At 44.8% G+C, this 25,677-nt stretch overlaps 1 protein-coding gene across 62 annotated transcripts in view, besides 1 other annotated feature; it reads left to right on the forward strand.

Moving 5' to 3' along the window:
- Positions 1-25,677, forward strand: part of ZNF532 (zinc finger protein 532) — a 123,557-nt gene that overhangs the window by 32,177 nt on the left and 65,703 nt on the right. For 30 of the 62 annotated variants that reach the window (NR_148459.2, NR_148460.2, NM_018181.6 and 27 more), the window contains one exon: positions 23,171-25,533. Coding sequence is in view for 58 of the 62 variants with exons in the window: in NM_018181.6 (NP_060651.2) it covers positions 23,188-25,533 (2,346 nt within the window). In the remaining 4 variants the exon portion in view is untranslated. Of the gene's footprint in view, positions 1-1,324; positions 1,523-3,403; positions 3,536-21,404; positions 21,926-23,170; positions 25,534-25,677 lie in introns of those variants that run through there. The other 32 variants (XM_047437584.1, XM_047437592.1, XM_047437606.1 and 29 more) reach the window with 9 other exon arrangements.
- Positions 20,434-20,944: an enhancer, noted in NCBI's record as "H3K27ac-H3K4me1 hESC enhancer chr18:56582766-56583276 (GRCh37/hg19 assembly coordinates)". NCBI's record gives its function as "activates a minimal SCP1, AML or CMV promoter by ChIP-STARR-seq in primed H9 embryonic stem cells {active_cell/tissue: H9 hESC(primed)}" and the evidence as "EXISTENCE:reporter gene assay evidence [ECO:0000049][PMID:30033119]".

The raw sequence follows: 25,677 nt of genomic DNA on the forward strand, positions 1-25,677 counted from the left end.
GCTTTTCTGTGTAAATTGTTGCTAAAGTTTGACCTAAATCGGCTTGCCCAACTTCAATTTTCTGCCAGGGTGCCAGTCACAGATGGTATTGGTGGCCCTCCACTGAGCAGTAGCTGCGTCGTCTTCTAGATGCTTGCAGCCTCTGTCTCACGTTTGGCTGCAAAGGAACAGACGCATGTCTTTAAGGCAGTATTTCCCAAAAGGGCACGTACACCTCCCAGATGCTGTTAGGGAAAAGAGAGTCCAGAGGTCAGATAGATTTGATAAGTATTTTATGCTCTAGCCCTTCTTGGCGATTCAAAATGTGCTTTAATATATTAAAGCTCTCAAAATGGGTTGGGGATAAAGATTTGGGGAACTCTTGTGGCAAAGAAACCAGTTTAAACTTTGTTTAACCATTTGACCCTAAGATCTCCTTTGTTCCTAATGTCTACAAACATTCTGGGAGACAGTGACGGACGGGCCTGCCTGTTGGAGCTGGCTGAGGCTGGCTGCCAGTCTATATCGTACGTGTCTCTTCCCAGCTCCACCAGGACATCTTGTTAGTAGCTTGAAATGTATCCCAGTGGGAGGATCTAAGTCACAGAAATGGGCAAAGGCTAAAAATCGGGGCTCCCCACCCCTCACACTCCTTGTTGCTAAAGGTTGCTAGCCTGTTGCTGGTATTTATCAGCCCATTTCCCTAAAGGTGTCATAAGGGGTGCCAGACATTAGAATACAGTGCATTTCTCAAATCTTCACTTTCTTTCTTTCTTTCTTTTTTTTTTTTTGAGATGGTCTCACTCTGTCGACGAGGCTGTACTGCAGTGGCATGATCATAGCTCACTGGCAGCCTTGAGCTCCTGGCCTCAAACGGTCCTCCTACCTTAGCCTCCCAAGTAGCTGAGACCACAGGTACATGCCACCACACCTCACTAACTTTAAATTTTTAAAATAGAAATGAGGTCTCACTCTGTTGCCCAGGCTGGTCTTAAACTCTTGGCCTCAAGCGATCTTCCCACCTCAGCCTCCCAAAGTGTTGAAATTATGGGCGTCACCCAGCCAGATCCTTGCTTTTCAGTGCAGTGTAACTTTCTTCCCTGTTAAATCTAGCAGTGTTTGTTTTTTGTTGTTGTTGTTTGTTTTTTAAGTAAAATATACATAATATTTGTCATCTTAACCATAAGTGTACAGTTCAGTGAGATGAAATATGTTACCCATGGTAAAAGTTTTCCATCACCTTCAAAAAAAGCTCTGAACCAAATAAATAACTCTCCCTTCTCACCTTCCTCCTGCTTGTGGTAACTTCTCTTCTACTTCCTGTCTCTTAATTTGCCTATTCTAGGCACTTCAAGTAAGTGCAGCAGTTTTTATCTGGCCAATCTACTGTGACCCAGTCAAGCCACCACCCATGTCTGGGCTGGGAAGGTGGGGAAAGAGGCTGCTGCACATGCTTGGGATGTCTTCAGCCATATGCATCTGTCCATCTGTTCATCCACCCATCCGTCTGTCCATCCGCCCACTCAGCTATCTGTTTATCAAGGTATAACAATACAGCTTTTTTATTCCTCTCCCTCTGTAACCTATTTGGGCCTTATTTATGTTTCTCTTCTTATAAACCACCTCAGATCTTTCTGTAGAGGTATTTATTAAGTAAAACAACACCACCACATGACGGACATAAATATTGAAAAGACCAATCGATTGGAAGGATTAATCAGTAGAGGGAGGTGTTTTCAGGGGATTTAGACAGGAGGAAGATAGCCTAGGCTGACAAATGGAGCAGATGAAGATAAATCGGCAAAATAAGTAGGGAGACAAGATCCCTGTCCCATGTGACCATGCATTTGAAAGCAGGCAGCCCAGCGAGGTAGAGGCATGAAAGGCTGTATGGACTGCGCTCTTCAAAGGGCTGTGGTTTTGTTCTGGGGTCTAGTCTTAGGTTGTAAGCTTTTTTCTCTTCTCTTTCTGTTTTTTCCCCCGGGGCTTGAACAGACTCAAAATACTCTTAGGGTTGGAATTTCTCTTTGATTCTGGTCTTGGTTAGCAGGGGTGGGGGGGATTGTTATGAACATTTCATTAGATGTGTGTGCTCTTAGATATGGTCAGTTTGACTGAACAGTTGCTCTGTTTCTGCATTAAGCACGTAATTTTGTAAGTTTTGTAGCTTTTTGGAATATAAAGTAGTTGAATACTTAAAGCTCCCCCTGCTGCCTTCCCTTTATTTTTAACTTGGACTGAGCAAGGTTCTTCTAAATGCATTGAGGTTGGGGGGAAAAAGACCTAAAAAAGAAAAATACACTGAATAATACTTTCACATATACACGAAACCTGATTTTGCAATCTAAAATGACTGTTTTTGGGTTTTCAATTATGGAACATTTTCTGACAAATAATAGAATTTGCTGTATTTCACTGTAAACAGTTTTGAGAATGCACTAAATGCAACAACAACCTTAGGATTAGTTATCATGACAGATTGGCATTAGGAAAAATGATGAGTATATTTTATGTTCTGGAGGAATGAGACTTGAAGAGCAGAGCAATTTTTAAGTTGTTTACATCGAGGGAAGAGATGTAAAGTTAAGATTGGCTGGGCGCGGTGGCTCACACCTGTAATCCCAGCACTTAGGGAGCCCGAGGCAGGCAGATCACCTGAGATCAGGAGTTTGAGACCAGCCTGGCCAACATGGCGAATCCCCATCTTTACTAAAAATATGAAAATTAGCCAGGAGTAGTGGCAGGTGCCTGTAATCCCAGCTACTTAGGAGGCTGAGGCAGGAGAATTGCTTGAATTCAGAGGCGGAGGTTGCAGTGAGCCGAGACCATGCTACTGCACTCCACCCTGGGTGACAAAGCAGTGGGACTCTGTCTCAAAAATAAATAAGTAAGTAAATAAATAAATGAATAAAGATTATTACTTAACTCCTTTCAACAATTTAAAATTTTTTGTCAAAGTAATACATGTACATAGATCAAAAAAATAGTACTTTACATCATAATTCCCTTAGGCAGTGAATTTGAATTTTTTGGTTTGTTCTGTTATTTCTAAATAATGTGCTTACATTGCTAAACTTGGACTTGTTCATTTGAGATAGTACCTGCTGACTGTGTGTGGTCAGAGAGAAGGTGACAGACCTGGACTGTGGAGGCAGAATCCTCTTGCTCACTAGCCACGTGTCCTTGAGCAAGACACTTAAACTTCTCTGTCTTATAGAATAGGAATAATCACCACCATCATCATAATGGCTCCGAGGCCTACCTTTAATGTATGTAGGGCCTGGGGCAAGAGTACTAATGGAGACCAGATGGCTAAATATTTAAAAGGTATATTTAAATATTTACAAGGTATATATGATATGCCTAAATATTTAAAGGGTTCAAATCTACCTCTGTCTATGGCCTGGCCCCTGTGTTCACCCAGGTCCTTGCAGCCTACTCTCCCTGAAGACCAGAGTCTAACAGACAGCCTCACACTTGGACCAGCCCTGAGCCAGGCCCCGGAGTCTGCCCCGGCAGCCCAGCGTGAATGCCGCGCTAGACCCGCTGATCCCAGGTGTAGTCTTGGCAGCTCAAGCTTCCCAGGAGCCTGTCTCCATCTAGGGTGATTTTATCGTATTCCCTCACACCTTGATTCTCTGATTTCCAGGCACTTCTAAGCACCTCCCCAAAACTGTACCATCTGTGCTGGGGAAATCAGGGAGCCTGTCCTGCCTAGACACCCACTTTTTCTCTGGTACCCCAGGGCAGGGGCTGTGACCTGCACATACATGCCCCCTGCTTCCCCACTGACCTGTCTTTCCCAGAATTCCTCCTTGTTTGGCCAGTTTCCAAAATTAAAAGGGAATGAAACAAAAGTTTCCCATGAGACTGAGAAGCATAGTCTCTGGCTTTCAGCGCTGGAGAGAAATGGGTTGTCTACCACGCAGGCCGGGGCAGAGCCCCCTTTGTCTGGAAGCACAGGTGCTGAGTGCGCGTAGATTGCTGTGGGGATCCATGCGTTCACAGCGGCAAGCCTCTTAAAATAGAGTCCGGACACAGCGAGTCCGTGTGATTGTTGGTTCTGCTGCTTCGCTTTTTGGAGCTCTGTAATTTCACTCCAGCGTGGACTTCTTTCCACCTCTTGTATTGGGCCAGCAGAGGTAGAGAGTTGTCAGACTTAGCAAATAAAAAATACAAGATGCTCAGATAAACAGTGGAACATCCTTACACTACAAGATGATTTGTTTATCTGAAATTCAGATTTAACTTGGCATCCTTTATTTTTCTGGCAGCCTAATGAGGCCCTTTCAATTGGATTGTCTCCTTTTGTCTTGGGAGATGTTCCTGTATTATTTCTGTAATAATGTCCTCTCTGCATTTCCTCTTTCTGAAACACTTAATTTTATTTATTTATTTATTTTTTTTGAGATGGAGTCTTGCTCTGTCACCCAGGCTGGAGTGCAGTGGCGCGATCTTGACTCACTGCAACCTCTGCCTCCCGGGTTCAAGCGATTCTCCTGCCTCAGCCTCCTGAGTAGCTGAGACTACAGGTGCGAGCCACCACGCCCAGCTTATTTTTGTATTTTTAGTAGAGACAGGGTTCCACCATGTTGACCAGGGTGGTCTCAATCTCTCGACTTCATGATCTGCCTGCCTCGGCCTCCCAATATGCTGGGATGACAGGCGTGAGCCACTGTGCCCAGCCTGAAACACTCTTTTTAGTCAGATGTTGGACCAGCTGTATTGAACTTTTAATTTTCATACCTTTTCTCTTCTATCGTCTGTCTTTATTTTCTAGTTATACTCTTGGGGAGAGATCTTGATTTCCTTGACTCTGTTGTTTCACCTATTTTATCTTTTATTTCAGTTATTAATATTTATAATTTCCAAAAGTTCCTTCATAACTTCCTGTCCATTTTTCTCTGAGGATACTAATTGTACATATATTCTTTTCTTCCTCTCCTTGTAGCATCTCTGTCCTCTTTATTTTTGATTTTTGTTTTGATTCAGATCTCTTTGTCTAGAGGCTTTCCCATGCATCTGGTGATTGTTTAGGGATGAGGCTGTGGAGAGCTGCCCGGGAGGTCTGTCTGCGCAGCTGCGGCCTGTCCTCCAGGGGCTTCTCTGTGATTCCTCGTGGAGCTGGACTCATCGGAGGATCGCAGCAGTCAGCATCCGGAATCTTTTCACTGGTGCTTTTGTTTTCCTAGGAGACTTGTCCATGCTTCTGCCTGGGGGATAAACTTGGCTTTAGGCTGTAGGGCTGGAGGAAATGGAGGTCAGGCTCTCTGTTCTGGTTTCTGTCTCATGCTCACCCTGTGGCCCTGAACCCTGAGCTTCCACGGCTTTGATAGCCCAGAGATTCTCCTCTCCCTCCTCCCTAGCTTCCCCAGCTGATGAAGGGTCGGGGGCTCCCTGTTTCTAGCCCTGCCCTGCTCCCTGCTTTCTTTGCTGGCTCCAGGGCCTGGCTGTCTCTGCAGCTGTAGGACTGACCGTCCCCACCTCCATGGCAGCCTCCTACCAGACCTTAGGACGGAGCTTCATGATCTGGTGGTCACCTGCCCCTCCCTGTCCTCCTCCTCTTCCCCAAACTTTGTTGATGCCTCACCTTGGCTTTGACTCCATTCTCACAGCATATTGTTTTTGGCAACCGTTATTGACATACAATTCACATACCATGCCACCTGCCTCTTTAAAGCACACAGGTCAGTCATTTTTAACATGTTCACAGAGTTGTACAGTCACCACCAGTCAATTTTAGGACATTTTCATCACCTCAGAAAGAAACCCTGTATCCTTTAGCCATGATGCCCAGTTCCCAACCCCCAAGCTCTAAGCAACCACTTACTTCCTGTCTCTATTTGCCTATTTAAATTAAAAAAAAAATACTTTTAATGCCATCTTTGTAGGGTTTCAGGAGGGAAGGGAAAGAAACTCGTGAATTCACTCAGCCTTGTTTCATGGGCAGTCCTTGCCATGTATAAAATATTAAAATTCAAAAACCATCTGCCTGTTTCTATTTCTACCTTCATAGTATTGACCCATGGCCGAGATGGGACCTTTCCTCTGGGTCTCTTTCTTTTCCTTCTTATGCCCTTGTTTAATGTCTCTGTTTGACCTGAACTTCTCTTTTCTGGAGCTGGGCGTTGTGAAGCCCACATCAGTGGCCTTCGTCTCCTCTTGGCTTCTAGCACTTTTCTTTTTTTCTTTTTTAGAGATGGAGTCTAGCTATGTTGGCCAGGTTGGTCCTGAACGGCTGACCTCAGTCCTCCCGCCTCAGCCTTCCAAAGTGGGATTACAGGCGTGAGCCACTGCGCTCGGCCTCTGGCAGTTTTCAAGTGTCTGTAGAGCCATTGTGCAGAGGAGTCGCCTTGGGGAGCTGAGTCCACGCCCCTCCGATATCTTCTTGGTTCAGAAGTAGAGGCTGTGGGCTGTGTGAAAATACATAGGACTTTTAGGCGCTTAATATATTTTACTATGATGCATTTGCTCTTTAGCCAGCACCTGCTCTTTGGAGAGCACTGGTGTGGGTAATTTTGCAAAGTGGAATCTGGAACTTTAAACCAGTGAGGGAGAGAAGACAAATACACAAGCAGACAACAGTACCTATTACAAGTGACGATGAGTCCACCTGCAGGGGTGGAGTCACCAGTTAGCATGGCCTAAGGATTGCCCTGAATGGGTACTGGCCTCTTATCATCCTGGCTGCTTCTGGAGAACCCTGTCCCCATCTCCTCTGGAGCTCCAGGATTTCTCTGTTGGCTTCGCACCCCACCCTGCTCTCACAGCCTGCCTGGCTAGTGCTGACTTGCTGGTCGCCTGGCCAGTGGGTGCCCACTGGCTTCCCTCCCTGAGGCTGCCTCCCTTCCAGAGAACTGGACAGCTAGGAGTAGACACCTTAACAGCATGGTGAGGACTTCTTAGCCCACTTCCTCTTTGTCTTCTCTCTAACAGCGGTTTCTCCATGCCTGTTCTCCTCCAGCTTCTCTTAGAGTGTTTGTTTCGGGGCATGGGTACCACTGCTATGGTTTGGGGTTCCTGGCCCATGTCACATTGTGGCTGCGCATCCCAGTGCTCTGCTCTCTGTGGGGCCTGGTCTGTGAGCCCGGCCCTGTGCAGCGGTGTTGTCTGTGTCAGCATGGTGTGGAGGTGTGGGGTGGGCAGGGTTAGACGGGGGCGGTTAAGATCATAGCCCATCTTTGGTTAGTGCTTGATGGGGAAGACACAAGTCTCAAAGTCAAAAGCAAGAGTCACAGGGGACCCAGAAATGCTGAGATGTTTTGTGGATTGATGAAATTTTGTTGCCCTTTTTTTGAGATAGGGTCTCCCTCTGTTGCCCCAGACTGGCGTGCAGTGGCGTGATCATTTTGCTGCCTTTTAAGAGAAACCTGTGTATTCTTTTTCGTTTCTGACTCCAGGTGACCCTTCTCCTTCTTTTTTTTTTTTTTGAGATGGAGTTTTGCTCTTGTTGCCCAGGCTGGAGTGCAATGGTGTGATCTCGACTCACTGCAGCCTCCACCTCCCGGGTTCAAGCGATTCTCCTGCCTCAGCCTCTCGAGTAGCTGGGATTACAGTCATGTGCCACCACACCCAGCTAATTTTGTATTTTTAGTAGAGACAGGGTTTCTCCATGTTGGTCAGGGTGGTCTCGAACTCCCAACCTCAGGTGATCCACCTGCCTCGGCTTCCCAAAGTGCTGGGATTATAGGGGTGAGCCACCACACCTGGCCCCAGGTGATCCTTCTAGTGGCCGATACCTAGAGTAGGACTGGAGGCACATCCACATTAGGAGAAAGGCTGTGCTTTTGAAAGTGAATGAAATGCAGTAGGGAACCGGTGCCAGCACTCTGCGAAGTACCCAAGAATCCCCTCGTTTTTCTTTTTCCTCTGATCATACCATCATCACCTCACAACTTCTTCACTTTCTCTTCTCAAGAATATTAATTTAGTTTTTCCCATTTAATTTTTAGAAAAAATAAAGGAAGAAAATAGCCTTTTAATGTCTGTGTGCTTGGCACTTTCCATGTTACTTGTTTCCATTTGTAGAATAACCCTGTGATACGGCTGTTAACTATTAGTTCCCCTTTTGGAAGATGAGGAAATTGAGGCTCTTCCTTCAGTAGAACCTGAAGAATGAGTTCTTCATACTTGGCTAATGGAGATAAGTGTGTGTTGGGGGAGGCATTCCAGGTCAGAGGCTATCCAGAAGGGCAAACTAAGAAGGAAAGCTGGGCCTGCGAAAAACACACGCGGAACCGCAGCAGCTCATGGTTGGGGGCAGATTGTATTGGGAATTTGGTGTGAGGCCAAGAAGTTTGGACTTAATTTGGAAGGTGATTCCAGGATTTTTAATAGGAGGAGTGATAGCTATAATTAAAAGGAATTTTAGAAAAATTTATCTGGAAATTCTGAACAAGAGGCTGGAGACAGGGAGAACAGAGCATTGGTCTCGGTGTGAGGTGAGATGGTCAAAATAGAGGACCGACAGCGATTATAAAGAGAATGAGGGCGCATCTGCAAAATAGCGCCAGGGAAGTGGGCAGGGCCCAGGGAGAAGAATTGGAGGTGAAATTCTTAGTTTGAGAAAATAATGGTATTGAAAGAGAGGAGTCTGATATTGAGTAAGAGATGACGAAGTTAGTTTAAGAAAGCTGAAATGGTTGTGGGATATCTGATTGTACATACCCGCAAGGCACTTGAACTAGATATCTCAAGAAAAACAAAAACCAGATTTGAACCTCTCTGAAGTGAAGTGACTGTGGTTTGATGTGGGGGTGTTTAGTGAATACAGTTTTAAAAAATCAGAAGTCTGAAGTTTAAACCGTGGACAATGTGTGCATTTATAGATTGCCCTTTAGAGATTTAAGAAATTTAAGAAAATTTCAGCATACATTGGGAACAGTTGAACTAATTTTTTAAAACTTCCCCTGCATGCTCTCCCTTAGTAATAATAGGTGGCCTTTTTGCTTTTATCGTTCAATATGTTCTTCATATAAAAATTAAATGCAGCTGGCCATGGTGGTTCATGCCTGTAATCACGGCACTTTGGGAGGCCGAGGCAGGCGAATTGCTTCAGCTCAGGGGTTTGGGACCAGCCTGGGCAACATAGTGAGACCTTGTATCTACAAAAAATATAAAAATTAGTCAGGTGTGGTGGTGTGCACCTGTAGTCCCAGCTACTTGGGAGTCTGAGGTGAGAGGAATGGTTTGAGCCTGGGAGGGGGAGGCTGCAGTGAGCCGAGATCACGCCACTGCATGCCAGCCTAGGCAACCTAGTGAGACCTTGTCTCAAAAAAAAAAAAAATAATGTATATGGTTAAGATGGTAAATTTTATGTTTTGTGTGTTTTACCATGATTAAAAAAAGCTAAATGTACACCTGGCTATATTTTAAAGGGAAACGGTAGTTCCTATTTATCGGTGTTAATTTTTAGAATTGAAACCCCAGTTATATTGCTGTTGTGGAAGGAAAGGCTGGCATTGTTAGACGATACCTGAAGGATGGAGAGAGAGAGAGAAATAATTTCTTTCCTTGTGATCCCTATAACCAAATTCTTAGGAGGGACCTATTGTTTTTTAATAAGCTGTTATTTCATATATTAAGTGATCAGTGATCCAGTTGTTGTGTTGCGTACCATTGGCCAAAAAGATAAACCAAATAAATCATTTATCATCTCCGGCCACAGACTGGGGCTGGCTGTAGTCGTGGAAGATAATCTGAATGATTTTGTGTGCAGAAATCATAGAGAATGCAAACTTTTGAAATTCTATTTCTTTCTTTTTTTTTTTTTTTTGGTTGAGACTGGGTCTCACTCTTGTCACCCAGGCTGGAGTGTAGTGGCACGATCTTCGCTCACTGCAACCTCCGACTCCAGAGTTCTAGCAGTTCTCGTGCCTCAGCCTCCCGAGTAGCTGAGACTACAGGTGCGTGACACCATGGCCGGCCAATTTTTGTATTTTTAGTATAGACAGGGTTTCACCATGTTGGCCAGTGTGGTCTTGAACTCCTGGCCTCAAGTGGTCTACCTGCCTCGGCCTCTGGAAGTGCTGGGACTACAGGTGTGAGCTGCCAAACCCGGCCTGAAAATTGTGTTTCTAATAACCTATGGTTTAAAAGTTGCTACATCATTTTGATTAGTCGCTGACCTTGAGGCAGTTTACTGGTGAGAGGAGAAAATGGAAAGCCAATATCCAGAGCTGTTAAACACTGTACGAATTACTTCTTTTTTTAGGTTGCTTTTCGCCAATATTCTTTGGAAGTAAAAGGATTATAGTATACAACGTCTCATCCCGGCTCTCCCCTGCATTTTCACATTCCCAGGTTCTCCATTTTTTTTTCTTTCTTTTTTTTTTTTTTTAAGACAAGGTCTGGCTCTGTTGCCCAGGCTGAAGTGCAATGGCACAAACATACTCACTGCAGCCTCTGCCTCCAGGGCTCAAGCTATCCTTCCACTCCAGCATCTGGAGTAGCTGGGACTATAGGTGTGCTCCACCACGCCCATCTAAATTTTGTATTTTTTGTAGAGATGGAGTTTTGCCATGTTGTCCAGGCTGGTCTCAAACTTGTGAGCTCTTGGCCTCCCAACATGCTGGGATTATAGGTGTGAGCCACCATGCTTGGCCGGTTCTCTTTAACTATTCACTATTTCTATCTTACTTTAAAAGCAACCAACCACCAACAACTAAAGTCTGTGCCTTATTTGGATTTCCTTAGTTTTTACCTATTGTCCTTTTTCTGTTCCAGGAGTCCGTCTAGGATATCACATTACATTTAGTCTTCAGACTTTACTTGGCCATGACCATTTCTCAGACTTCCCTTGTTTTCGATGACCTTGACAGTTGTAAGGAATACTGGTCAGGGATGTTGTAGGAGGTCCCACCATTGGGATTTGTCTGATGTGTCTCCTGTGGTCAGGCTGGGGTAGTGTGTCTCTGGGAAGAAGGTCTCGGAGGCAGTGTGCCATTCTCATCACAGCCCGGGGACATACTGTCCGTGTAACTTACCACAGTTGATGCTGACCTTGACCACCTGGCTGAGGTTGTGTTCATCAGGTTTCTTTCTCCGTGGTAAAGTTGCTTTTTTCTCCCCTTTCCGTACTGTCCTCGGAAGAAAGTCATTGAAGGGGCAGGGAGTTCTTCACTGCATAAGGGTGGGGCATCTACATAAATTACTTTGGAACTTCTGCACAGGGGATGGTTTGCATATCCTGTTTAGTTATTCCATCATTTATATCAGTATGCATTCATGGATATTTATTTAATATTTTGGGTTGTAACACAACACTACTTTATTTTGTTGCTCGGATTGTTCCAGTTTTCCATGGGCTTCTATGTCCCTTTGACACGCCCCATCAGTGTAGTTTTTTTGTTTTTTTTGGAGGCAGGGGGACATTCAGCTCTTTCTTACCTTCTGACACTATAAGATTCATTGGTAGGTGCATTTCCTGCCCATTCCTAGATCGGTCATTTCTCCGAGGAGCCCTGGCTTCGTTCAGTGGAGAATGGTGTGGGAAATGCAGCTCCGGGCAGGTTGTCTTCCTCACTTTTGGTTGTTGTCAGGCACCTGCACCGGTGCTGGGTTCACCTTCTCCCATGACCTCACTTTCTTCTTTTTCCTATCTAATTTTGCCATAGATTGCCCAGCTCTGATTTTTACAGCTGTCAGATTTTTAGAAGACCAAGCTAATACAAAATTATTATTACTTGAAAGAGAAATTGGCTGCTTCTTTATGTGATCTGAATTCCAGTATTAATACTATGTAGGAATCTGGCTGTAAAGATTGAATTTGGATTGATAGTGTTTTTGGACTGTGATTTGTCTTTTATTACAGCATCCAGGAACTTTACAGATTTATGAACCATAGTGAAATAGTTAAAAACTTATTAATGTTAAATTTTAACAAAGACCCAAATGTCAGAGTTTTGCATTTCTGTATAATTCTTGGGGTTCCCTTGAGAAAACTCACTTGCGAGGTTCCTGAGGACCTGGAAAAGATGGCTCACAGGTCTCACCTCCTCCTCCACCTATCTACAGAGGAGACAGCCTCATGTTTTGCAGGGTGCAGAGAAGCAGGGGTCCTTTCAGATATGACCATTAAGGCTGCTGCTGCTGCTTATGAGTTTTTTGTTTGTTTGTTTTTTTAAAGACGGAGTCTCGCTCTGTTGCCCAGGCTAGGGTGCAGTGGCATGATCTCGGCTCACTGCAACCTCCGCCTCCTGGGCTCAAGCGATTCTCTTGCCTGAGCCTCCTGAGTAGCTGGGATTACAGACGCGTGCCACCACGCCTGGCTAATTTTTGTATTTTTAGTAGAGATGGGGTTTTACCATGTCAGCCAGGCTGGTCTTGAACTCCTGACCTCGTGATCCCCCCTGCCCACCTTGGCCTCCCAAAGTGCTGGGATTAGAGGTGTGAGCCACTGCACCCAGCCGAGAAGTTTTTTGTTTTTTTTTTGAGATGGAGTTTCACTCTTGTTGCCCCAGGCTGGAGTGCAGTGGTGCGATCCCGGCGGAGAAGTTTTATACCCAGTGAAGTGTTGTGTCTGTGTATATTCATAATTTTGTGGTCATTTGGGGGTTGCAAAGATCAGGAGGGTTCAGGAGAGGATGGTCAGGTAGCTGTGCTTCCGGTCAGCATGTCTTCCGTCTGCCTCCCAGGTCCTGACGTGGTAGATTTCTCATTTGTGCCTCATCCTCTAATTCTGATCTCTCCCAAGGCTCACTCCCAGCCAGTGAGTTCTGTTTTTGACAAGGTGAGCCCCTGAGCTTCCCACAAGACTTCTAGCACCAGTCCTTCCCCATAAAGATGATGCCCACTTACCTTCTTTCCTTCTTTTGCTGAAAGCCGCAGTCTGACTAGGAAGGTTAATAAATGAGATGACCACAGACTGTTTTCCTGAATGTGATACTGGCCAAATAGGTCTCCTGCCTGGTTGTAGGTCTCTTTTCTGTGATTCTTAAATGAAAAGGGTAGGAGTATTCTTTGACATTCTCTAACCACTGGTCACTCATTGTTTGAATGTTATGCTGTTTTGTGCTGTGTGTTTAATTATGACAAGGCTCCCTCTAAATATCAGTAGCCCCTTTCCATATCCCTGGGGTTGAGTGTATGCTGTTATCCTCATTTTTTAGGTGGAAAATTTTTGGACACAAGCCAGGAACAAAGGGAATGCTGGTGCTGGAATGGAATCATGTTGCCACGGGTGTTGTGCTCTCCCACTTATTGTTTGTGTGTTGTGTAGCTGGGATGTTAAATGCTCTTTTTCTTCATGAAAGTTTGTCCATAGACAATTTATTTCAGGGAACTGTATGGATAGGCTTTGTATGTCCTTGCTTATTAATAAATGACGAGAGTGTAGATCGGTAAGTTGTTTCATAGAGCTGAAGAAAGAAATAAACAGGAAATTCATCAGCTCCCTGCATCCATTCATTCATCATTCATTGATTTATAACTAGCAAAAACATAAGAGAAAAAAATAAACATTCAAATAATAGGAAAAGTGAAATACAGTAAGGCATCTTTTTGTTGCCTTTGATATTAGCTAATAATGACATTAGCTTATGAAGTTGAGGGACAAGATGCAGTAAAAGTAACTCTAATGCATAATTTGCAACAATAAAAGTTTCTGCAGCCTTTTGGGAAATCATTTTGGCATTTGTATTCATGGATCAGAAAAAATGACCTGCAGTTAGATCAAAATTTGGTGACTACTGACATCCGTGTTTTTGGAGATTTGTAATACTCATTAGCATAATAGTGGCTCTTGCCTGAAAGAAATCTGTTTAACTTCAGAAAATCCAGCATTTGCTATGTGCATTTCAGTCTTGTCTTTGTGAAAGACCTAATAACATCCTACAGAACTAGTATCTGTGTTTTATGGTTTGTGAAATGCTGCCTGAAGATGTTTTTTTTGGAGATGGAGTTTCGCTCTTGTCCCCCAGGCTGGAGTGCAGTGGTGCGATCTCGGCTCACTGCAACCTCTGCCTCCTGGGTTCAAGCAATTCTCCTGCATCAGCCTCCTGAGTAGCTGGGATTACAGGCATGCACTACCACGCCTGGCTAATTTTGTATTTTTAGTAGAGACAGGGTTTCTCCATGTTGGTCAGGCTGGTCTCAAACTCCCAACCTCAGGTGATCCGCCCACCTCAGCCTCCCAAAGTGTTGGGATTATAGGCGTGAGCCACCGCGCCCAGCCTGCCTGAAGATTTTTAATGTTTTCCTAGAGCAGGTGAAGGTCATTGACAAAACATAGGATTTAGAGGAACATGTTGGGAGGGAATATGAGGGCTTTAGTTTTAAGTTTGACCTCGTGTAGGGAGAGCCAAGCAGAATATCATCCCAGCAATGGAAAGACGACTCTTAAGGCAGAATTAGGACTAAAGATAGAAACCCGTTTGTTCTGACTGTTGTGACCATGGGAGTTGCTGAGGTTGCCTTTCAACAAAGGTAGATAACAAAAGAGAATCTGAAGGGACTCATGAAAGGAGAGAAGAGGAAGAGCCAGTGAGTCAGGAAAAGCCAGGTGAGCTTGAGGCAGTGCTGTGGGGTCCACGAGAGGAAAGGATGACCAGAAAATGAAATTCTGCAGAGGTCACAGGCAACATGAAAGATGATTAGCAGCAAAAACAGGCACGCGGGAACACGGATTGGGAATGGATCGTTGCTGGAGTGTTTTCTGGCTGTGAGACTACACTATTCAGCGACGGCATGCACTTTCATTTGGACCCAGGAGGAAGGGCCACTCAGGGAGGCGCTATGGCCACCTCAGGTCACTAGCTAATAGTAGTAAATAGGGCAGCAAGGATTTCATCTCCAAAGCTGTCTCCTTTGTATTATGTCACATAGCCTGGGTTTTCCCTTTTTAACTTTTAGGTTGAAATAATTTTAACTTAAAGTTTTGGCTGGGTACAGTGGCTCACATGTTTGTAATCCCTGTGTTTTGGGAGGCCAAGGTGGAAGGATCACTGGAGCCCAGGAGTAACCAGCCTAGACAACATAGCAAGACCCTGTCTCTACAAAAAAAAGAAAAAATAAATGTTGCAAAAATAGGACAGAGAATTTCTGTGTACTCATTTACCCAACTTTACTTAAAGGTCACATCTTGTAATTCTAACACACTTGTGAAAACTAAAAAATTATCATTCGTACAATACTACTAACTAGATTTCAGCAGTTTTTTACTAGAGGATGGTGTTTGTGCACGGTCCTTTTTCATTAGCCTTACAATGTACAGTCATAATTTTGTTTTCTGAGTTGTTTAGGTTAGTTTTTTGTTCCCTGAACCCTTCAGTGTAGTCATGTTATTCATTTGTATGAATGACCAAAATTACAGTTGGTCTTAATTTTGGACGCCCCCTCCCATTCCTGGTTTTTATTTTTAAATTTAATATTTACACACAGTGAAATTCTCTAGTTTATTTTTTTTTTGAGAAAGAGTCTCGCTTCATCACTCAGGCTGGAGTACAGTGGCGTGATCTCAGCTCAGTGCAACCTCTGCCTTCCAGGTTCAAACGATTTTGCCGCTTCAGCCTCCCGAGTAGCTGGGATTACAGGCATGCACCACCAAGCCCAGCTAATTTTTGTATTTGTAGTAGAGAGAGAGAGAGGGGGTTTCATCATGTTGGCCAGGCTGGTCTCAAACTCCTGGTCTCAAGTGATCCACCCGCCTCAGCCTCCCAAAGTGCTGGGATTACGAGCATGAGCCGCCGCACCTGGCCTGAAATTCTCAAGGGTTTGACAGATGCACAGAAACATGTCTCCACTACCACATTTGTGATACAGAACTATTCCATGAGCCCTAAAATTCTCTCCTTCAGCCTGGTTTGTTTTTTTTTTTTAAGAGACAGGGTCTTACTCTGTTGCCTAAGCTAGATTGCAGTGGCGTGATTGTAGCTCACTGTAGCCTCGACTTACTGGGCTCAACCAATCATCCTGCCTTGGCCTCCCAAAGTGTTGGAATCACAGTCATGAGCTACCACGCCCAGCCCTGCCTGGATTTCAATGGTGGTTTTGAGAGAGTGGATTGTCAGAGTGCTGGGGAGATACTGGGAGGAGCAGGATATGTCCCAGTACTGGAGAACTTGAGCCATGAAGGCTGCGTGGCAAGAGGACAGAGCACCAAGGGTTCCAGGGTAAGGCTGGAGGAGATCTCTCTATGCCACTAGGCAAATGGGATAGGAATTACCCAAAATAGAAGGGACAGACCAAGCTCACTGTGGAGGATCGGCTTGGCAAAGCCAGCATGAAGGTACAGGCAAGATTTGAAGGAATGAAGCTGTGGGAGACCTCTTGACTGGTGACTATGATTTTTTAAGTTAACCTCAGAAAGAAAAGGGGGGATGGAGTTTAGAAGAGGGAGAGATTAGTAACATCTGCAGGCCACAGCCTTAGGCCAGGCAGGGTTGCTCAAGCCTTTAATCCCAGCACTTGGGAGGGGAGGCTGGAGGATCACTCGAGGCCAGTTTGAGACCAGTCTGGGTGAGAGCAAGACCCCATTTCTACAGCAAATAAGAATTAGCTGAGTGTGGCGGTGCTTGTAAGGATCACTTGAGCCCAGAAGTTCGAGGCTGCAGTGAGCTATGATCATGGCACTGCACTCCAGCCTGGACAGCAGAGCCAGGTCCTGTGTCAAAGGAAAGAAAAGAAGCAGCCCTTGTCTCTTGGCAGGATGGGAGTTAATAAGGAAAAACAAAATTGCAGTGCTAAATGACGCTGAGGACCTGCTGTGGAGGGCTACAGGCACGCCCTCAATTTCCCTGGAGCTTCTCTCCTGGAAAAAGCAAAGGAGCTCTCACTGTAGCTGAGCTTTCGTTTTGACCCAGAAGAGTTTGGAGTTGGGGAGTGAGCTTTCTTAGAGAGCTGTGATGTGAGAAGTAGGCCGAGTGGGGGAGGTTGAGCTTTCAGAGAAGGCTGAGGTTTGTAGGGACAGGGACTTTCCCTTAGTTGCTCCTGATGTGCGAGGTGGGGAATGGATGGGGGCGGGGAGCCTACTTTTATAACCTTGAGGGAGGAGTGTGGAATAACTGCAGCAAAGGGCTGGGGCTGGCTTCACTCCTCTATTTCCCAAGGTCGTGACCTGGTTCGTGGCATTAGTATGTGACTCCTGTGTTGATATTTCCAGAAGCAGTTTGAATTTCAGATCAGGAAATCTGTTATATTTCAGATCAGGAATATCAAGTGTTAGCTGAAGAAGAAAACATACTACCTTGAGCAAAGTATTTGTATATCCATGATTGGTATCATCAGGTTTAAGGAAACCAGTAAATAACTATTTTGGATAGTAGCAACTATATTTGCTAATTTCTTGTTAACTCATACAGAATTAACAAAACATACATTTGTTCTTTGACTGTGCGTATAAACTGTATTTGTACGCTATGTGTTACCCTGGTGTAGGCTGCTTAGAAAATGAAGCTCTTGTGCTGAGAGGGGGCAGAGTGTGATCAGGGTGCCCAGCAGTGCTGACAGGTCAGAGGGTCCAGGCGACTTGTTGGTGTCCCATTGTGTCAGCTTTCTTCCCTGTGGCCGGGGAGGAACCTTTAGACCTGCAAGGTGCTCTGGGCTGGCTGTCTCGACTTAATCAGGGTCTGATTAGTGTGAAGGCTAAAGGTAAAATGAAACTTTTCTGTGGCATTTGTCACTGGCATGGGACCTTCAGATGGCAAGTAATTAAGAGATTCCATAGCTTTTTTCATAACTGCTTATTTTTCTTTTCCACATTTTTTCATGTGTGTGTCTGCGTGTATGCTATTTTTTTGAAATCTGAGAATCTGCCATTTTTGGGGCCCAGTCTCTCCCACCCCTGCCTGCACTTCCTAGAGAGAGGCAGTGAACCATGGCAGCTGCTCCAGAGGCGCGGCTGATCAAATTTTTTAAAAAAACTTGGCCCCCAAACTGACCCATGTCCCCAGCTGGTTTAGGAAGAGTGAAGAAGCATGAGGTCGACCTGCGTAGCTGAACCGATTTGGTGTTTGGAATGGAAATGCAGTGAGAAAATAGGTTTCCCTGATATGCAGTCGAGATTGAAGTGGGATAAAAGCGGCAGAAGATCAGTTGGAAGAGAAGAGAGAAGGTTTTTTTTCTTTTCTTTGGTGGAAGAGATACAATGTGCAGAGCCTTGGAAATTCTAAAGATGTAAGAGATTGGTGATGGAGGCAGAGCTAAGGTTTGCATAATGATAATGGGAAGAGCAAGAATTTGAATGTAGGCAGCCAAGAGAAGTCAATCCCTGTGTTTCTTGAAGATGTATAAAAACTGGGGATGCTAGCTAGATTCATTTTCTAAGAGGAGGAAATTAAATTTGAAACATTACGTAATATAAACATAAGTTATAAGAACATTTTATATTTGAAGGAAAGATAGGAAAGATGAAAACATGCTAGATCCATTCATTTATTGAATTATTTTTTTGGGGCCAGGCACAGTGGCTCACACCTGTAATCCTGGCACTTTGGGAGGCTGAGGCAGGAGGATTGTTTGAGCTCAGGAGTTCGAGACCAGCTTGGACAACATAGTGAGACCCCATCCTAAAAGAAAGGGAAAGGAAAAAATATATATATATAAAAGAATTATTTTTTTAAAAATTCAGCGGAATAAAAAAGATACAATGAAGGGTCTCAGTGGCCAGATAGTGCTAGAAAATAAGACTGGGAATCCCAAAGCAGACCTTGTATTATTACAGTTGTTTTATGGGAAGCCTTTATAATACTGCCAAGATGGTCAGTAGACTTTGATTTGTTTTTCTCTAAGTAGGACTGTTATGATTTAGAGGGTATTGATTTTCATTAAGGGAAATGTTAGTTTCTGTATTAAATAGGGAACCAGCGTTTTCACAGGTCAGAGGAGGCAGACCTTGGCTGGATTTAGGCGTGCATCTTTCTGTTTCAGGATTAAAGTTGGGATTTAATGGTTAGGCTGTGCCTATGCCTTTAATACTGACATTCTCTAATTGGAAATTGGGAAACCAACAATTTTTTTATTGCAAAGGAAGAAGAATTTTGTTACAAAGTATGAGAAGTATGATTAAGGGGTGAATAGGTTTTTCTTACGTTTTTCTTTTGACTTCATAACTTTTGACTTCTGCCAACAAAGATGAAATAGCTTTTCATAATTCTCAGAGGCTTTGAGTAGGAAAGGAAATGTTTTGTCTCTGTGTCATACGAGAAAATAAAGTGATCATGTGACAGACCTGAGTTCTTTCAATTTCCTTTTTTGTAAACAGGTCTGATTCCCTCAGATATTGTTGATGTCTTTGGGTGAAAGAACATTATACATTAAGCACAAATGCTATTAGTGAATTATAGGTCATTTATATAGGGTTTACTTTTAAATTAAAAGACCATTGGCCAGGCGTGGTGGCTCACATCTGTAATCCCAGCACTCTGGGAGGCCGCGGCGGGCGGATCACGAGGTCAGGAGCTTGAGACCAGCCTGGCCAACATGGTGAAACCCCGTCTCTACTAAAAATACAAAAATTAGCCAGATGTGGTGGCAGGTGCCTGTAATCCCGGCTACTCGGGAGGCTGAGGCAGGAGAATTGCTTGAACCCAGGAGGCGGAGGTTGCAGTGAGCCGAGATCACACTGCTGTACTCCAGCCTGGGTGACAGAGCAAGACTCCGTCTCGGAAAAAATAAATAAATAAAATAAAAGACTATTATTGCCTTTGAAGGGAGATGTATTTTATAGGGCATAAGTGAAAGACATTGTTAAAATAACTAAAGCTAATTCTGTTTGAAAATCAAACTGTTGAGGGAAAGGGAAGCTAAAATGAGATCGTTCTATTTTATCTTTTAAAAGAGAGGACTGAGATTTATTTTTGTAATGTTTTTAAGCAAAAGAATCTATTTTTAAGACAGTAGTACTTAGGAATTGGGGTGGAAAGCGAAGAAAACTTTCAGACATAAACATTCCTCTTTGTATTCAGTATAACTGAGAAATGAAGTGGGAGTTATACATTTTTTTCCCCTCCAAGTGGAATGGAACACTTGCTCTTGCCTTCCAGAATGTGGGAAGGGAAAGGGTAATAGGACAATGTGATTGTGGGTATGAAAAACATTCCTATAAACCAAAAAAGAAGTGTGAAGTTACAGAGTGGTATCCATTCCATTAGTTATACAACCCCAGAGAGGGGAGTCCAGGCACCACAGTGATCTCGGGTTTCAGACGACACGATGCGCTTTCGGTTGGCCACTGCACTCAGAAATGCCCATTATGCATTTTCAGCTTCTAGTCGGCCTTCCTGCAGGTGAACTAGGATGACTGACTCACTTTTTAAAACTACCATCAGTTCACTCTGACCTCTTACCACGTCCCACTGCTTCACGCTGGACTCCCCCACGTCCCCCATGAGAAGAGTATAAACCTTAGGTGGAGTAGAGGGATGGGGACAGGGTGAGGCTGGATCACTGTGGAGAAAGAGTTGCTTCTCAACCCCTTGAGGGGTTTGCAGGCATGGGAGTTCCTCTCTGGGGCCTTCTAGATCCTAACTCTGCTTTAGCTGGGCAGGTAGGAAAAGATGGGGTGATGTGGAGGTCAACAAGTTTAGCATTAACTCAGTGATTCAGTACGGCTGCTGTGCATGCGTTTATAAATCAGGAGGTTCCTGTACGTGCAACAGCAGAAAAAGGTGAGAAGAGCCATATTAACCTTCCCAGGGTTCATAAGAATGTCAGACAGTCGCACTGCCGACCACTCAAGTTTGGTTTCATGGGGTGACCTTTCCTCATTCATGTGGTTGTATGTTCTGGGCCTCCCACCCACTGAGTATTTGAATTATCTCTTATCTTCTTTTTGTTCCTGAACTGACTGCCCTCTGGGATGAACAGTGTGAAACTGTATAAAGTCTTTTGCTCACCAAAGTCATAAAGAGAGGGCAAATGACATTAAAATCCTGTGAAGCTCGAAAGAAAGAGTTGGGGGACTAGGGCAGAGCCCCACTACCATGGGGACTTCCAGAGCCTGAGCCCAAGCTTTGCATCAGTTAAAAATCTACTTTTCAGTCCCTTTCAACCCTGGTGGGGCAGGGGGTGGTGTCTTGAGTTTTCTAATCACAGTGACCTCCAACTTTAGATCAACATGGTTGGTAAGGATAGATCACAGGGATACTCTGCTAATGGCAGCTTTATTGTGAGTATTCCATTTACAACACCAGGATGATGAATAGAAAGAAGAGTGGTGACATTCAGGGATTATTTGTAAGTGGGTGGATTCTTTTGTGGATATAGTGCCTGACAGATGGCTTTTTCATTCCCCACGTTTTGCAGTTTAAATGTTCAATTTCATTTAAAAAACAAAACCATAATCACAGACTTTCCACTGAATCTGACTTCTCATAGATATTTGTACGTCAGTATCCCTTTAGAGATGTTAATGTTTTATTTCCTGTGTACTTTTTGCATCGGTGGTAGCTTGGTGCTGGGGGTATGTTATTCCCCCTCTGTTTCCGCAGGCGCCCCTCTGAGAGAAGAGTGGTCACAGAATGTTTTCTCTATGCTGAGTAAGCCATCGAAAGAAAAGCACATGTGACTTCTTCAGCTCGGTATTAACCGAGACAGGTGTGAATAGAAGCGGATTTATTCTTCAGCTCCCATCGAACCCTAAGTGTTGATTTCGCCTTCAACAGTAGTTTTTTCTAACCAAATTCTTCAGTGTGTTTGGATGTGTCCCCAGAGTGAGTTAATATACTGAGGGTCTTAGCAGCTGTTGATAGATTTGTGGTGTATATGAGTTTTCTCAGGCATGTGTATTCTCACTGAGTAGAAATTCTCTCTTGACCCTGGAATAGTTACTTTTATTAGGAATGTGTGATGTTTTCTAGATTGTACAAGAAAAAAAAAATCAAGTGCTTCAGTAAGATGTGGAAGGAGGCAACGTGTCAGGGACCACTAAAGCAGATTCGAAGGAAGGATAATGACACAGCAAATACCGAAGGGCAGAGTCTGTCTAGGAACACGCATCTAAATTGGCTAGGTGAATTCTTCCACTGAAAGTTGCCTGAAGTCAGCTGCTACCCTCTTCCCTTCCGACTGACTGCTGCTTGCTTCATTCCCCTTTCTCTTCTCTCACTCTCTTCTCTTCCCTCTTTCCTTTCCTTCTCTTCCTGGCTGTTTGCCTCCACTGCAGAAGGAACAGATCCAAGAGATCCCCTCACTTGCTGAGGGCCCCAGAGCTAGTGAGTGACAGAGCTGGGTCCAGCCCTGTTCTTCTGTTATAAACCCAGTGCCTGTCTTGGTGTTGCGTTATTTGACATTTATGCTAGAAAGATGAGTGACACTTTGCCTGTCCTCAGGCAGCTTACAGGCCAGTATGTAAGAGGAGACAAGTACACACAGACTGGAGTAGAGACCAGGAAACAGTAGAGTCTCAGGATGGAAGGCTGGGGTTCCAGGGAGCAGAACATGCCCCCTGCAGTGGAGGCTTTATCTCCCCTGACAATCACTTGTCCTCTGCGGGTCGGGGGAAGAGCCCCTTTTAAAGATCCCTCAAGCACTGCATGTATTCATATATCCTTCATGTTTAGTAATGGCTGTGACCATCCATTTTTCTAAAACTCTCCATCCTCCTATCATCTGGGAATGTTTCTTTTTTAACAAACATAATAGGGAAAATTAGGGTTAAATAAAAATGGACAGAATCAGCTCCTTAGGGTTTTTTTTTTTTAAAAAGTCCCAAATGGAATTTATTAGCAGATATCCTGCAGTAGCTGTGGATGCTGATTTCTTTCTTCTGTGGATGAATATTGAAATCTGTACTTGCCTTTTTTGATTGTGGTATGTTTCTTTTAATAAGGTATCCCAAATCTGATGGTGACGATGATAGTGATAATTTTGCCAGCAGAATTAAATACTGTCAAGATCAAAATATGTTGGAAGTAGCTTTTTATGAAAGGGACACATTTTCTAGTTGCTACACCAGAACCTGTTTTTCTAGGCTACAGCAGTTTCAATCAACTTCATTCTTGTTAGCTGGGAGCCACGCTGGTAACACCGTATAGCAGTGTGGAGGGCTTACTTTTGAAGCTAAAATTATCTAGGTCTTACATGTATTTTCTCGATGTTTGTCCACTTGGACTCAGAGTTTCGTAGTTACCGTAAATGCAGTTACCTCCTTGCTCTTTCTTAGTAATCGTTATGTTAGTGTGAATTGTATAGGGGTTTTATCTCATCGTGAGGAAATACCAATTACTGATGGAACTATTTTCTGCTCATTTAACAGAACATCTGCTCAAATTAATGACCATGGGGGATATGAAGACCCCAGACTTTGATGACCTCCTGGCAGCATTTGACATCCCAGATATGGTCGATCCTAAAGCAGCTATTGAGTCTGGACACGATGACCATGAAAGCCACATGAAGCAGAATGCTCACGGAGAGGATGACTCCCACGCACCATCATCTTCTGATGTGGGTGTCAGCGTTATCGTCAAGAATGTTCGGAACATTGACTCTTCCGAGGGCGGGGAGAAAGACGGCCACAACCCCACTGGCAATGGCTTACATAATGGGTTTCTCACAGCATCCTCCCTTGACAGTTACAGTAAAGATGGAGCAAAGTCCTTGAAAGGAGATGTGCCTGCCTCTGAGGTGACACTGAAAGACTCGACATTCAGCCAGTTTAGCCCGATCTCCAGTGCTGAAGAGTTTGATGACGACGAGAAGATTGAGGTGGATGACCCCCCTGACAAGGAGGACATGCGATCAAGCTTCAGGTCGAATGTGTTGACGGGGTCGGCTCCCCAGCAGGACTACGATAAGCTGAAGGCACTCGGAGGGGAAAACTCCAGCAAAACTGGACTCTCTACGTCAGGCAATGTGGAGAAAAACAAAGCTGTTAAGAGAGAAACAGAAGCCAGTTCTATAAACCTGAGTGTTTATGAACCTTTTAAAGTCAGAAAAGCAGAGGATAAATTGAAGGAAAGCTCTGACAAGGTGCTGGAAAACAGAGTCCTAGATGGGAAGCTGAGCTCCGAGAAGAATGACACCAGCCTCCCCAGCGTTGCGCCATCAAAGACAAAGTCGTCCTCCAAGCTCTCGTCCTGCATCGCTGCCATCGCGGCTCTCAGCGCTAAAAAGGCGGCTTCAGACTCCTGCAAAGAACCAGTGGCCAATTCGAGGGAATCCTCCCCGTTACCAAAAGAAGTAAATGACAGTCCGAGAGCCGCTGACAAGTCTCCTGAATCCCAGAATCTCATCGACGGGACCAAAAAACCATCCCTGAAGCAACCGGATAGTCCCAGAAGCATCTCAAGTGAGAACAGCAGCAAAGGATCCCCGTCCTCTCCCGCAGGGTCCACACCAGCAATCCCCAAAGTCCGCATAAAAACCATTAAGACATCTTCTGGGGAAATCAAGAGAACAGTGACCAGGGTATTGCCAGAAGTGGATCTTGACTCTGGAAAGAAACCTTCCGAGCAGACAGCGTCCGTGATGGCCTCTGTGACATCCCTTCTGTCGTCTCCAGCATCAGCCGCCGTCCTTTCCTCTCCCCCCAGGGCGCCTCTCCAGTCTGCGGTCGTGACCAATGCAGTTTCCCCTGCAGAGCTCACCCCCAAACAGGTCACAATCAAGCCTGTGGCTACTGCTTTCCTCCCAGTGTCTGCTGTGAAGACGGCAGGATCCCAAGTCATTAATTTGAAGCTCGCTAACAACACCACGGTGAAAGCCACGGTCATATCTGCTGCCTCTGTCCAGAGTGCCAGCAGCGCCATCATTAAAGCTGCCAACGCCATCCAGCAGCAAACTGTCGTGGTGCCGGCATCCAGCCTGGCCAATGCCAAACTCGTGCCAAAGACTGTGCACCTTGCCAACCTTAACCTTTTGCCTCAGGGTGCCCAGGCCACCTCTGAACTCCGCCAAGTGCTAACCAAACCTCAGCAACAAATAAAGCAGGCAATAATCAATGCAGCAGCCTCGCAACCCCCCAAAAAGGTGTCTCGAGTCCAGGTGGTGTCGTCCTTGCAGAGTTCTGTGGTGGAAGCTTTCAACAAGGTGCTGAGCAGTGTCAATCCAGTCCCTGTTTACATCCCAAACCTCAGTCCTCCCGCCAATGCAGGGATCACGTTACCGACGCGTGGGTACAAGTGCTTGGAGTGTGGGGACTCCTTTGCACTTGAAAAGAGTCTGACCCAGCACTACGACAGACGGAGCGTGCGCATCGAAGTAACGTGCAACCATTGTACAAAGAACCTCGTTTTTTACAACAAATGCAGCCTCCTTTCCCATGCCCGTGGGCATAAGGAGAAAGGGGTGGTAATGCAATGCTCCCACTTAATTTTAAAGCCAGTCCCAGCAGATCAAATGATAGTTTCTCCGTCAAGCAATACTTCCACTTCAACTTCCACTCTTCAGAGCCCTGTGGGAGCTGGCACACACACTGTCACAAAAATTCAGTCTGGCATAACTGGGACAGTCATATCGGCTCCTTCAAGCACTCCCATCACCCCAGCCATGCCCCTAGATGAAGACCCCTCCAAACTGTGTAGACATAGTCTAAAATGTTTGGAGTGTAATGAAGTCTTCCAGGACGAGACATCACTGGCTACACATTTCCAGCAGGCTGCAGATACGAGTGGACAAGTAGAGTATCATTTAAATTTTTGTGTTTCAGTGATGAGTCTGTAGGCATGAGTGCTTGATAAGATGCCCTTGATTTTAGGGTGGGAATGCAGTGAAATGGACGTGTGTGTGTGTGTGTGTGTGTGTGTGTGTGTGTGTGTGTGT

The sequence above is a fragment of the Homo sapiens genome, chromosome 18 (genome assembly GCF_000001405.40).
Source record: "Homo sapiens chromosome 18, GRCh38.p14 Primary Assembly".
Taxonomy (NCBI): Eukaryota; Metazoa; Chordata; class Mammalia; order Primates; family Hominidae; genus Homo; species Homo sapiens.